The sequence below is a fragment of the Homo sapiens genome, chromosome 20 (assembly GCF_000001405.40).
Source record: "Homo sapiens chromosome 20, GRCh38.p14 Primary Assembly".
In the NCBI taxonomy this organism is placed as follows: Eukaryota; Metazoa; Chordata; class Mammalia; order Primates; family Hominidae; genus Homo; species Homo sapiens.
This window is the reverse complement of record NC_000020.11, coordinates 709193-723337: the sequence shown is the minus strand read 5'-3', so window position 1 is coordinate 723337 and position 14145 is coordinate 709193. Positions and strand designations below refer to the sequence as shown.

Below are 14145 nucleotides of genomic sequence, written 5' to 3'. Positions count from 1 at the left end.
TGGAGATGTAAGAAGGAGAGAGAAGTTAGCACCAAGGAGGGAGACAGACTCATCCTCAGGGGTCTGGGGAGGGAGGCTGCCCTCTGCTCCCACTGACGTCCCACCTGCATTGAGCTGCTTCCTGAGCTGCGTGCTGGGCTCCGGACAGCCCTGGCCACCATACTGGGAAATCCTGGCACTCTGGAGCAGTGACTGCCATAAGAGGGGCTGGTGAGCCAGCCACTGACCACAGCCAGAGAGGGGAGGCTAAGGGCTGAAGAACCGGAGGGGCTGCCAGGCAAGGAGCCCCTGCTGTTGCCCTGCTGGAGGGCCTGTTTCCACCCCACAGCCACGCTTCAGGGTGGACTTCTGGCCTCCAATTCCAAGTTGAAAAGCCCAAGTCAGGAAGGTGAAGTACATCCCCCAGGTCTCATGGCTGAGCCCACAGTCTGGTTCCAGGGACTGCATTCACAGCCTGCATCCCCTGCAGGCTCTGTATTGAAGTGGAGACATCAGCCAAGTATGAACACCAGCAACTGGCAGAGCTTGGCTGAGAAGTTGCCTGTACACAACCGATGGGCTCTCTCAACCTGTTCTCTTAGAGCTAAACTTACCTACTCAGTCTGGGCACCCACGGTCCTCCTCTGCAGGGGCAGCCTGCCAAGGACACAGAGAAGAGGAGGAGAAAGGAATGTAGGCCATGGGCACCCTGCCATGACCAAGCTGAAGACCCCGCAGCAGCCACCATGTCCCACAGCTCAGCAACTGAGACACTGTTCATTCCTCACTCAGGTTCCATGTCCACTGGGGGCCGGGATCTGAAGGTCTGAGGTTTAGTTTTAGATGGCCTGTGATCCCTTTGAAATTGCACCCCCATTTCTTTCTGGGTGTACCTGAACTTTTCTGGAGGAGGGCCTTTGGTTTTCATCAGACTTTCATCAGATGGCAGCTGAAGCAACAGAAGAAGCCAAGAAAGGGCACAGAGAAGCCCTCATTATCTGATGCTGCACGGCAAATGACCCCAAAACTTAGTGACGTACAACACAATGATCATTTAGTGTGTCTCAGTTTCTCTGGGTCAGGAATATAGAACAGGCCTGGCTAGGTGATTCTGGGCTGCTGTCATCTGAAGGCTTGCCTGGGGCTGGAGGATCCACTTCCAAGGTGGCTCAGTCATATGACTAGCAAGTCCATGCTGGCTGCAGGCAGGACCTCAGTTTCTCTCCATGTGGCCTTTCTGCAGGCTGCTTGAGTGACTTCACAGCCCGGCAGCTGGCTTCTCCGGGGGGATCAAACCCAGAGACCAAGGCAGAAGCTGCAACACACTCTATGATCCAGCCTTGGAAGTCACACTCTGTCATTTCCACAAAATCCTACTGGTTATTAGGACTCAAAGATTACTGGGGGCTATTTTAGGGGTTGGCCACCGCAGGAAGTTCGGAAAGGTAAGAGGGAAATCTGGAGAATTCAGAGCCCTGCAGAGAGTAGCCCTGCCTTGAACAGAACCAGGGTCATGGTTCAAGTCCAGAGCTTTCCACCACTTCCCCAGGCCAAGCTTCCACTTTCCACCTCATTTCTGGCCATACCTTCCCCACACTATCTCAGCTACAGATTTTCTATCAATTTCCTAAAGGCAATATCACTTCCCCCACCTCCAAGCCTTTGTTTCTGTTCTTTTCTCATCCTTGAGTACCCTTCTCACCTCCTCCTCTCTCAGACTATCTCCTCCAGGAAGCCTCCCTGCATGCACCCCACACATGTCAACTGCCCCCTCCAATCCCCAGTGCATCCCCAATCACTGCACAGACCCTCTGCACCCACGTCTGCCTTCCCACTCACCAACAGTACTCTGGCTTGGGGGACTGACCCACAATGGGTGCCCACCAGTGTGTGCTGAATGCATGAATTACGGGGGGGTTATACCCCACACACAACAGGGAGCCCCTTCAGGGCAGAGAGAGGCACTGAGGCACGGCTGATTGCCTCCCTGGGCCTCAGTGTACCCACCTGTCAAATGCCAGGGAGGCTTCTTCCAGCCCCAAGTTTCTGCCATTACATCCCCCTAGAAGTACTCAAGGGACAGCATCTTGAAATTTAAAAAGAGGGGCATGAGCAGGGTTGGAATCCCGGATCCTCTACCCACCTCTACCGCAAGTCACTGACCTCTCCACACCTCAGATTCCTCAGGTGTAAAAGGAGCTAATGTTCTTCACCACCCAGGGAAGCTGACAGGGATGAGTGCTAAGGCACAAGAGGGGATAAATCTTGACTCCACCACTGGGCAGATGACTTAATCCCTCATTTTCCCCATCTATTAGATGGGGACGATTATATTTGCTTGGCCAGGTTGCTCTGATCTGAAACTGCATTCATCCAGGTAAACACTCTGCACAGAGCCTGGCATGTGGTAGATGCCTGGGGCAGTTGTGGATGGGACACAGTCTCTCTTCAAGAAAAAGCTTGTCCTTCAGCAGCAAGGAGGGCAGCAAGGTGACAGCCTCCAGCTGCAGCTCCTCCAGGAGCCGCCTTGGCTTTGGAACTGAGGCCATGTTCTTCCCAGGTCGTCCCAGCCAGACTGAGCTAGCAGAGGCACCAGGGCCTGGCCATTTCTGCCCCATGTGGGGCTTCTCTGTGGATAATCTTTACTCCAGAGACCCCTAGAGGGTGACTCTGCAGGCCCGGGCTGTGGTCTGAGGCTCTCCTGGCCAATTCCATTCCCTCCTGCTTTGTGTTTCACAGGTAGCAGCCCTCACTAACCCCCTTGCCCTCCTAACTCTCTCCCAGCACCAGCACCGAGGGGCACCCAAACTGAAAGGCTGCTCAATGGAGCAGTGGTTCTCAAAGTGTGTCCCAGAACCCCCAGCATCAGCATCAACCAGGATCCTGTAAGACATACACATTCTCAGGCCACACCCTACATTTAGAGATGGAAATGCCTGGAAATCTGCATTTTAACTGATCCTTCCAATGCACTCAACTTGGAGAACTGCTGTCACAGAGGACAACAATCAGTAAGATATGCACAGCAGTGTGGCCAGGGTGTGTGTGTGTATGTGTATGCACGCACACGTGCCTGTGTGTGTTTTGTGGGAAGGGGAGAATGTTTATCACAGCCTCAGCAATTTACCACCCCCCAAGGCCCTCCCTCATTTATTTCAAGAACCCCGAGGGCTAGGCCAACAAGCCTCCCTCCCTGCCCATTCAGGAGGAAGGTCCAGTCCCAACCTCCAGCTGGAGACTCTGCAGGCCCAGTCTGTGAGGCTGCACATAAGCCCAGCCTTCTTTCCTCCTGCTCCTACGCTCTCTCCCCGCCTTCCTCCCCAGGGGCACCCAGCCCCAACCGCCCGCCTCCTCTTTGTCTGCCAATCTGTCTCCATCCCGTGATGAGCTCCCGGCCTCAGCCAGCCAGTCTGTGCTCCATCTTCAGGATGGAGAGTGAGGCCTCGATGCTCCCAACTACTTCCCACTCACCCTGGTGAAAGGTCACTGAGAATGGTTCATGCCACCAGCTTCACTTCCGCCTCCCAACCCGTCGCCCAGGTGGAGACCCTGCCCAGTCTAGGCCAATAATCGCATCTCCTGATGGATAGGAGACATCCTATCCATCCTATCTTCAAGAAAAAGCTTGTCCTTCAGCAGCAAGGAGGGCAGCAAGCTGACAGCCTCCAGCTGCAGCTCCCCCAGGAGCCGCCTTGGCTTTGGAACTGAGGCCATGTTCTTCCCAGGTCGTCCCAGCCAGACTGAGCTAGCAGAGGCACCAGGGCCTGGCCATTTCTATCCTATCCTATCCTTAGATAGGGAGACATCCTCCCTATCTAAGACACTCAAAACCTCATTATGTGACAAGAGAGGACAAAGGGGACAGAGGTGCAGAGGCTTGCCCAGGGTCACATACCAAGAGAGGGGAGCAGCCAGGAGTTGGCCCCTGCTCTCTCCTTCCACCTCAGATTCCAACTCCCAGGCCCTGGCAGGTGGCAGGTGATGGTTCTGAGGTGGTCACGTGTGGCGGGGACACTGTTGGCCCTGGAAAACCAAGACCTTTGTGAACTCACAAAAGCAGCACGTGCTTCTTTCTCTAGTGGGCGTGGTGGTCCCTGTCCTGCTCACCGATGCCACAGCCCTGCAAATAAGGCTCAGGCAGGGGGACACTGCCTGTGGGTCACATGGCTGCCTTCCCTTTTCTAAACTGTCAGTAGGTGATACATCAGCACCTTCCTTCATGATGCCCAGCCCATCCCTCATCCTGCCCCACCTCAAGGAACCCTGGAATGTCAGGGCCAGAATAACAGTGACAGTTATGACAGATTACTTGCTATGTGGCAGGCATGACTGGCAAGTGCTCCAGACATCATTGTATTTATTTATTTATTATTATATTTTTTATTTTATTTATTTGTTTTGAGACAGAGTCTCACTTTTTTGCCCAGGCTGGAGTGCAGTGGCTCAATCCTGGTTCCACTGCAACCTCCACCTCCCGGGTTCAAGCGATTCTCCTGCCTCAGCCTCCCAAGTAGCTGGGATTACAGGCGCCCGCCACCACACCCGGCTAATTTTTGTATTTTTAGTAGAGACAGGGTTTCACCATGTTGGCCAGGCTGGTCACGAACTCCTGACCTCAAGTGATCCACCCGCCTCAGCCTCCCAAAGTGCTGGGATTACAGGCATGAGCCACCGCGTCCGGCCCATCATCGTATTTCATTCTCACCAGGAGCGCATGACAGACATGCAGCTCTCAGCCCACTCTACTGACATGGACATAAAACTCAAAGAGACAAAGCACTTTAACTCCAACTGCGCTAGACCAACTCCTCCATTTGATAGATGGGGAAGCTGAGTCCCAGAGAGGTGACATGATTTCTCCAAAGACACACACTAGTCAGTGTCAGAGTCAGCCTTTTCCAGGCAGCTTACCCCCTGAGAGTGACCATAGTTCACTCACACGCCACTTTAGAGTTTGTCAAGCTCTCCTCTCCTCTCAGGAAGGGAAGGGTTTCTTTTGTTTAATGGTTCTCACTCTGGGATGCTTATATGATGTGCCAAGCAAGCATGGTTTGAAAGCTTTGTAAACATTAACTCATTTAATGCTCACAAATACCCTATGATGCAGATATGTTTATTGCCCCCATTTTGCAAATGAGGAAACAGGCACAGAGAGCTGGAGTAAACTGCCTAAAGTCACACAGCCAAGATTCAAATCCAGGCTGCCTGAGGTATTAACTACTATGATGTTCTGCCCTTTTTACTGCCAAAAAAGCCTGAGGCTCAAGGAGAGGACATGACTTGCATGAGGCCACACACTAGAGTGGTGGTGGCTGGACTGGAGCCCAGGCGTCCTGCCTCCACGCCCAGCGCTGGCTCTCCACCCCCCGCCCCACTCCACGGGGCTCTTTCTCACTCTATGTTGATTCACAAACATCAGTTGGGAGCCTTCTTTGGCCAGGAGGTCTGCCTCAGTTCCCCTACCTAACAGGTGAGGCAAACAAGAAACAGACACCTAAAAAACAAATGGATAAATGGGTTCATGGAGGTACCAGAGGCAGCTGTGGGAGTACCAGGCAGGACACAGAGCCACCCTGGGAAAAAGAGAAGGCTTCTGGAAGTCTGATCCTTGAGTTGAATCTCCAAGTTCAAGTGGCACCCTTTCCGGAAGGACAGAATGGAATAGGGCATCCCAGACTGAGGAAACAGCACGTGCAAGGGTTGGGGTATGGGAGAGTGTAAATTGTTGTGAAAAGTACTGTTCAACCCCACGCAAGGGAGGGCACAGAAAAGGCTGTCCTGGAGGATCATGGAAAGAGTCTCAGAGAGTCAGAACGCGGGAGTCCTGACCACAAATCTGCCCTGTCTCACAGTGACCTTGGTATTCCCATCTGTAAAATGGATTGATATCTAAGCACTCTGCCAGCTCCATCCTTCAGCTGGTGGAGTTAGGATGGCTTTGAGTAGGGGGCTGGTTTTGATGTGAGGGCAGAAGGTAAGGGAGGAAAGGCATTCTGGAAAGGAGGACCTGTAGGAGCAAAGGTCCAGAGAGAGAAAGTGCAGAGCAGGCATTAGAAATGGTAAGGACGGCCAAACACGGTGGCTCACGCCTGTAATCCCACTACTTTGGGAGGCCAAGGCAGGAAGATTTCTTGAGTCCAGGAGTTCAAGACCAGCCTAGACAGCATAGTGAGACCCTGTCTCTATGAAAAAAAAAAAAATAGCTGGGCATGATGGCAAGCACCTATAGACCCAGCTACTTAGGAGGCTGAGGCAGAAGGACTGCTTGAGCCCAAGAGGTCAAGGCTGCAGTGAGCTGTGATTATGCCACTGCACTCCAGTCTGATCAACAGAAAGAGACCTTGTCTCAAAAAAAGCAAGCAAGCAACGGTAAGGAGAGGATGTAGCTGCTGTTGATGGTCCATTGGATGGTGCAGACAGGGGACACATATGAAGAAGTTGTATCAGTCTGGACTCTTCAGTTAGAAGTGAAAGAAATAAAAAAAAAAGTAATTATTAATTTATATAACTGAGAAGCCCAGGGCACTGGCTTCTGTTATGGCTGAATCCAGGTGCTGACATGTTACTGTGAGGATCCTGTCTCTCTCTCTATCATGGCTTTGATTTCTTTCTTGTAGGCCTCACTCTCAGGCAGCCTGTAACCTCATGGAGGCAAAGGTGGCCACCACTACCTCTGGAATCCATCACACAAACTACACTTCTGGTGGAAAGGCTCCCAGTAGCCCCACAAAAACCTCAGAAGCAGCTCTTGCCAGACTTACTTCCTAGAATTGTCATGAAGATTAAAGAAGTTAATAGAGCTTAGCCCAAGCTCTGGTACACAGCAGGTCCTCAGTCTTTGCTGTAGCTCAGCCAGAGAACTTGACATTATCCTGGACTATTCTCTGTCTTCACATCTAACATTAGATCTGTTTGCAAATCTTATTGGATCTACATATAAAAGAGATCTAGAATGCATACAGTTCTTCCCACCTCCACTGATAACAGTCTAGTCCAAGCCACCTTCATCTCCCTACTTTGTTTTCTAAGTTTTATATGTATATAGTATATTTATATAGTAATATATTCATGTATTCAATTCAATTGTGAACACAATTTAGACGTGTACATCCAGCTCAATGAATCTTCACACAGTGAGCAGATGATGTAACCTCCCTCAGATCAAGATACAAGACACCGACAGCACCCCAGAAGCCTCCTTCATCCCCGCTCCTAGTTATTCACCCCCTTGGTAGTGTGTCCTTTCATGTGTCTGAGTCACTAGCATTCACCTGGCTTAGTGCACTGGTTCCCAGCAAGTCTCTGGCTTTCTCTCTTGCCCTCTTATCCCTTTCAGTTAATCCAATCGATTCAGAGATCCTGTAAAAGATGTCCTCCCTCTGCTCAAAATCCTCCCATGGCTCCCATTTCATTTGGTGTAAAAGCCAAAATCCTCTCCATGGCCTGCAAGGTCCTACACAAGCTGACACCTCATCCCTCCCTCTCCCCACTTTCCCCACATAACTCTCTGCTCCAGCCATACGTGCTCCCTTCCTTCCTCAAACACACTACCCGCACTCTCAGCTATACACGCAGGAGACCATTGTACTTGCTGTTCACACTGCCTAGAATCTCCTTCCTCTCCCCACTCCCATATCCTCTTGGTTCACTCCATCAACTCCTTCAAGTTTGTGTTCAAATGTCACCTTCTCATATCTGCTTCCACCCAAGATGGAGTATCAGAAACTGAATTTACTCTCCTGCTTGAAACAATCAAACAAACAAACCAAACCAGGCAAAATACATGAAACTGTAATTTTTAAGACTCTAGGCAACAGGCAATAAAGGATCATGATCCCTGAGAAGTGGGAAATAAGATGAACCCTATCATGGCCTCAGTTTGCCGCTTGGAGAGAGTTTTCAGAACCTAGTGCAGGGAGGAGGAACCCAGGCAGCACCCAGGAGGCTTCCTGAGTTAAGGAAATAGAGTTGAGAGTCCAGGAAGGACAAAGAGGGCAGAGTTTGCAGGACACAGTATTGGGAGGAAAGAGTTGCACAGAGAGACTATTCCAGAGATATGAAGAAAGTCCCCCTTGAGTATTAGACTGAGTACTGGTTGGTGCTTTTGTATGATAAAACTACACTGAAGTAGGGGTGAAAATCATCTGATAAGATTAGAGAACAGTGCTCAGCACTCACACAAAACCAGAAATATTAATAAACAGAAAAAACCCTCATAATTTCTGGGGTACTGGGTAGAGTGCTCAGGAAGGTCTTTTCTCAACAGTGGTATATAATTAGCCCTCAACAGATAGCACTGCTCTGGACCCACTCAACAAATTATAAAAGCAAGACTAGGAAGGATAAAACTGTTTCCAAGTAACTTAATTGCATCTTAGAGCAAAACTGAAGGAGATTTATAGAAATATAAAAGTGTACAGCACCCAACAAGGGTAATGTTCACAATGCCTGGCATCCAAAGTTTACCATGCACGTAAATAAGCAAGAAAACATGGCCCATACAAGAATAATAATCAATCAATTGAAACTGACCCAGAACTGATACAGAAGTAGGAGATAAGAGCATTAAAATAAGTATTCAAATTGTATTTCATGGTCTGCATGTTCAAAGGTTAAGGAGAGACTTGGAAGATATAAAATGACCCAAACTGAACTTCTAGAAATGATAACTACATGTCTGAAATGAAAAATATGCTGATGTGACAGAAGAAAAGATTAGAGAATTTTAAGATGTAGCAATAGAAACTACCCAAAATCGACGACTCAGAGAAAAAGAAAGAATCCAAAAAACCAAGAGTATTAGGAGCTATGGAACAACTTCAAGAAGCCTAATATATGTGTCTTTGAAGTCCCCAAAGGAGAGGAAATAGAAAATTAATGGCTGAGAATATTTCATATCTGATATAAACTATAAACTCACAGATCCAAGAAGCTTAACGAACCTCAAGCACAAGAAACAGGAAGGAAATTACCCACCATGAACGAATTGCTCAAAACCAGTGACAAACAGATAAATATTAAAAACAGTCAGAGAAAGAAAAGCCTTGTAAAGTATAGAGAAACAAAGATAAGGATAATGGCAGATTTCTTGTTGGACACAATTTAAGGAAGAAAATAGTGAAGCAACAACATCTTTTAAGCTAATGAAAGAAAAAACCTGCCGATCTAGAATTCTATACCCAGTTAAAATATCTTTTAAAAATGAAGATGAAATAAAGATGATTTCAGACATACAAAAGCTGAATGCATTTGTCACCAACAGATCTGCACTGCAAGAAGTGATAAAGGAAATCCTTCAGGCAGAAGGAAAATGATACCAGATGGAAATCTGGATCTACATAAGGGAATGGAGGTCACCAGAAGTGTTAACTACATGAGTTAAATATATAAAATCTTTTCTGATTATTTAATTTAAAAAAAGATAACTTAGCATTTAAACAAAAATAATAACATTTTGTGGAGTCTGTCACACATATGTATGTATGACAACAACAGCAAGAAGGCCAGGAAGGAAATGAAAGTATACTATTACATGATTTTCTTTTTGAGTCTTGCTCTGTCACCCAGGCTGGAGTGTAGTAGTGCTATCTCAGCTCACTGCAACCTCTGCCTCCCAGGTTCAAGCAATTCTCCTGCCTCAGCCTCCCGAGTAGCTGGGACTGTAAGCATGCACCACCATGCCTGGCTAATTTTTGTATTTTTAGTAGAGACAGGGGTTCACTATATTGGCAAGCTGGTCTCAAACTCCTGACCTCAGGTGATCCGCCCACCTCAGCCTCCCAAAGTGCTGGGATTACAGGTGTGAGCCACCGTACCCAGGCTTATAAGGCCTAATGTAACTACTAAGATAACAAACAAAACATTACAGTTAATAAACCAACAGAGAAGGTAAAACGATATAATAAAAAAGGAGGAGTTAAAATGAAATAGTAAAAAAAACTGAGCTTATACAAAAGAAGACAGAAAAAGAAGAAAAAGGAAGCAAAGAACAGATGGGACAAAAATAAAACAAATAGCAAGATGATAGACTTAAATCTAACCACGTCAATGATCACATCAAATGTAAATGGTCTAAATACCCTCAATTAAAAAGCAGAGATTGTTAGATTGGATTTTTTTAAAAAAATAAGACCCAAATATTGTTTTTTTTAAAAAAAAAAAATAAGACCCAACCTTCAAAACGGCACACCTTAAGTGTAAACACACAAGTTAAAAGTACAAAGATGGAAAGTAACAGTAATCAAAATAACACTGGAGGAGTAGCTAGTTTCATATCAGACAATGTTTGTTTCAGAGCAAAGAATATTACCAGGAAAGATAAGGTCATTTTATAATGATTAAAAAGGTCAAGGCTGGGTGCGGTGGCTCACGCCTGTAATCCCAGCACTTTGGGAAGCCAAGGCAGGTGGATCACAAGGTCAGGAGTTTGAGACCAGCCTGACCAACATGGTGAAACCCCATCTCTACTAAAAATACAAATATTAACTGGGCGTGGTGGTGCACACCCGTAATCCCAGCTACTCAGGAGGCTGAGGCCAGAGAATCTCTTGAGCCCAGGAGGCGGAGGTTGCAGTGAGTCGAGATTGCGCCACTGCACTCCAGCCTGGGCGACAGAGCAAGACTCTCCATCTAAAAAAAAAAAAAAAAGGTCAGTTAATCATGAGCATATAACAATTCTAAATATTTATGCCCCCAATAGCAGAGATTCAAAATACATGAAGGAAAAAGTGAATGACCTGCAAGGAGAAATAAATCCACCTTATCAACTGAGATTTCAAATCTCCATAACTGAAAGCAGAAAGAAAATATTGTCACTTTCTTAGTGAGTCCTGCCTTGACTCTCAATTTCAATTGCACCTTCTAAAATAACATTTATTTATTTATTCATTTTTATCTATTTATTTGTATAATGTCTAGAATGGTGTCTGGCGCTTAGAAAATTCTCAAAAAAAAAAACTGTTAAATAAAACCAAGGTCAAAAGGATGTTAATTGCTACTATCATGACTAGTATTATGTGACTCTGCACATAGTCTTTCTCTATTGTTATTTGAATGGGTAGACCCCAACAAAATTAATACTGAAGACTCAATCTAGAACATAAGGGCGGAAATCAGAACTTCACCATATTCGTGTAAGATGCATAGGATGGGAAAATTCTAAAAAGTCAGAAGAATACAATGTTAGAATGTAGGATGCTTAGGGGCAGAACATCAGAATCAGAGACCAGAGTTGATGAGGAAACTAACCCTGCTATGCATGGGGTGGGAGTAGGGGTTGGTCAGAGCCAAACAGCACTTTCTAAAATCCCACCTGCTGGTTCTGGGTGTCTCCTAACTCTAGTATCCATAAGGAGATGTCCATCCTGCTAACCCAACTAACCCAGCTCAGCAAGGCAAAGAGACTGAGAAACTATTCACCCATGGCTTCAGGAGCAGCAGGAATGAAGGGAGTAAGTGGGGAGGAACAGGAAGGGGGGAAGGGAGGCCGTATTTTCCATTTTAATTCAGCTCCTGCTCACCAGGCCCCTTCTGGACTGTGGGCTCATGAGGCATCGTGGTCATGCAAGACTGGAGTATGTCATTATCAGAGGGAAACACTACTGCCACCACCTCAGGGCTAGGGGCAGAGGTTGCAGCAGTCTGAGGCCTGCCCATCTTCCCAGGGACCCTGCCCCATGCAACAGAACTGGCTGGAGGCTGGGTCCTAGTGGGTGGGGACATGAGGCTACTTAGGGACCTAGTTCCCTAGACCCAGGAGTGTGGCCCTTTCCTGCCCAGGCAATGATACACACTGTATTGGGGATGAGGGTAGGGGTCTGGCAAGTAGGGCCCACCCTCCTAATCAGGTGCCCTGCTTTGTTTTTATCTAAAGCTCATGTCACCTAGTGACCTACCTCATGTCTTACATGTTTATTTTATTTCTCATTCATCTTCCGAAGGAGACTGCGAGTCTGTGAAGGCAGCCAAGAACTCTGCTCTGCTCACGGTTGTCCCTAGCACCTAGGGACGCTACCGTGGACTCCGCACACAATAAGCGTGCCAGCCATGCTGTTCTTGGATGGAAGAGATGAAGCTGATTTCCCAGCCCTGCACACAGGGATTCTTCGCACACTGGATCACACCCTTCTTGTAGAAACTAGTGAAGGCTGTGCCTTCTCTACCCAAAAACTCACACAAGTCATATGCTGATGAAGACACTTCTCAAAGACCATAGACACACACACACACACACACACACCCAGCCCCAAGCTCAGCACAGACCACAGGTTTTTTGCCAAGCTTCACCCTACCGCCAGCTGTGAGATGAAACTCAAGGGCCTCTTTCCAGCACCAGCCATTTTTGGTTTTCCCTGTGCCCCTCCAAGGAAAATCACAGAAAACAGCAAGAACCAGCACTTGTGAGCACTCACCGTGTACCCAGCACTGCGCCAACACGGTCTCAGCCCATCACCTCCACCGCCCCGGGCGCAGGGTGGTTACCTGACGCAAATCCTCAACGGCGAGTAGGGAGAACTGTTGGAACCCCTTTCTGAACCACCACGCTATTGGCCTCTAAAATAGGCCCAGATTTATCCTGCCTTTGGGCCTCTGGTTTTCAACACTACCTGAATCACAGGCTACCTTTCTGAGGCTGGGTCAACTGCTGGCAAAACCCCAGAAAAATGCACAAAGAGACACTGTCAGGCAAATTCCCAGGCCTCTCCCTCCCACCTCCCACCTCCCCTAACCCCCACCCCCAGCCATGGGAGCCTGTAGATCCCCAAGCCAATAACCAGGCGTTAAGCACCTGCGGTACGAGATGGGTGGCAGGGTCCCCCTCTTTTCTGGACACCGCTGGGAACCCTCCGCCCCACAATTCTTCAAACTGCTGCTGTGCTTCCCCCCCACCTTCTTAATTAATACCGCACTGCTTGACAGGGCGGCCCCGCGTGCGAGTGGGCGTGCGCGCGCGTGTCTGGGGGCTGGGTGGGGGGGCCGGGGGGAGGGGGTGCTGGCTGCCTGCCCAAGAGCGAGACCCCGCCCCCAGCCCCCGGCCGCTGGAGGATTGTGAAGCTCAAACAGATGGACCGAGCCAAGGGGCGGGGGCGCGCGGATGGGGTGCGAGACGGCAGCGCGGCGGCCGGGCCTGCGGGCGCCCTGACAAAGGCGGGGCCGCGCGGCGAGGGGCGCCTTATCTGCGCCAGCAGACCGGGCGGCCCGGGGGGCGCCCACGGCCCACGCTCGGGCGCACAAAGGCCCGGGGCCGGGAGGGGGTGTGGGGGGCGCGAAGATTAATTGCCCAATCAAGTTGTCGGCGCGGGGCGGGGGCGCGGGCCTCGGCCCCGGGGGACGCGGGACGGCGCATAATGAAGTGTGCGAAAAGTTAATTTGCTCCGCGACTCGCTGCTCACCACAATCAAAGGCGGGCGGAGGGGAGCGGAGGACCGAGCAGTGTCCCCCCCACCATCCCCTCCCCCGACCCCAGCTCGTGATCCAAAGGCAGGATGAGGGGGTCACAGGGCACACGGAGTGGAGGACCGAGCAGTGTCCCCCCCACCATCCCCTCCCCCGACCCCAGCTCGTGATCCAAAGGCAGGATGAGGGGGTCACAGGGCACACTCCCACAGCTGGGGGCGGAGGTCACCAGACGTGCGCCCTACTCCCCCTTCCTCCCGCTGTGAGTCTCCCGGCAGGTCCCGTTCCCTCTCTGAGCGCCACTCTCCTCTCCTGGACTCACAATGGTTGACATTTCTGGAGCACTCACGCTGCTGGGCACAGTGCCAAGCGACCGAGCGTTTCCCTGGCGTCGTCTCCTTTTATCTCACAACCTGAGGACATAACGCCTGTGCGCATCCGTTTTAAACCTAAGGTACAGAGAAGCCCGAGAAGTACTCCAAGGTCACAGGGCTCTTACCTAGCTCAGAGCCTTAGGTGGAAAACAGCACGGTGGAAAGGGTCAAAGACAAAATACACGGAAGAATTGGGGTTGATGGTATTATTCATGCTATTGCAACAGGGAGAGCATCCCAGATCCCAAAATCAGAGTGTCTGGACAGGATGGATTTGCCTTTGACTTTTGTAGGGGTGAGGAGACAGGTTACAGCAGGAGGGATTTAAAGTGGGGATTGTCTTACAAATAGGGGATATCTCCATCAGTCCATTGAAGAGGAAATGTTCATCTCTGTG

At 49.3% G+C, this 14145-nt stretch overlaps 1 annotated feature.

Moving 5' to 3' along the window:
- Positions 2939-3443: an enhancer, noted in NCBI's record as "H3K4me1 hESC enhancer chr20:700539-701043 (GRCh37/hg19 assembly coordinates)". NCBI's record gives its function as "activates a minimal SCP1, AML or CMV promoter by ChIP-STARR-seq in naive H9 embryonic stem cells {active_cell/tissue: H9 hESC(naive)}" and the evidence as "EXISTENCE:reporter gene assay evidence [ECO:0000049][PMID:30033119]".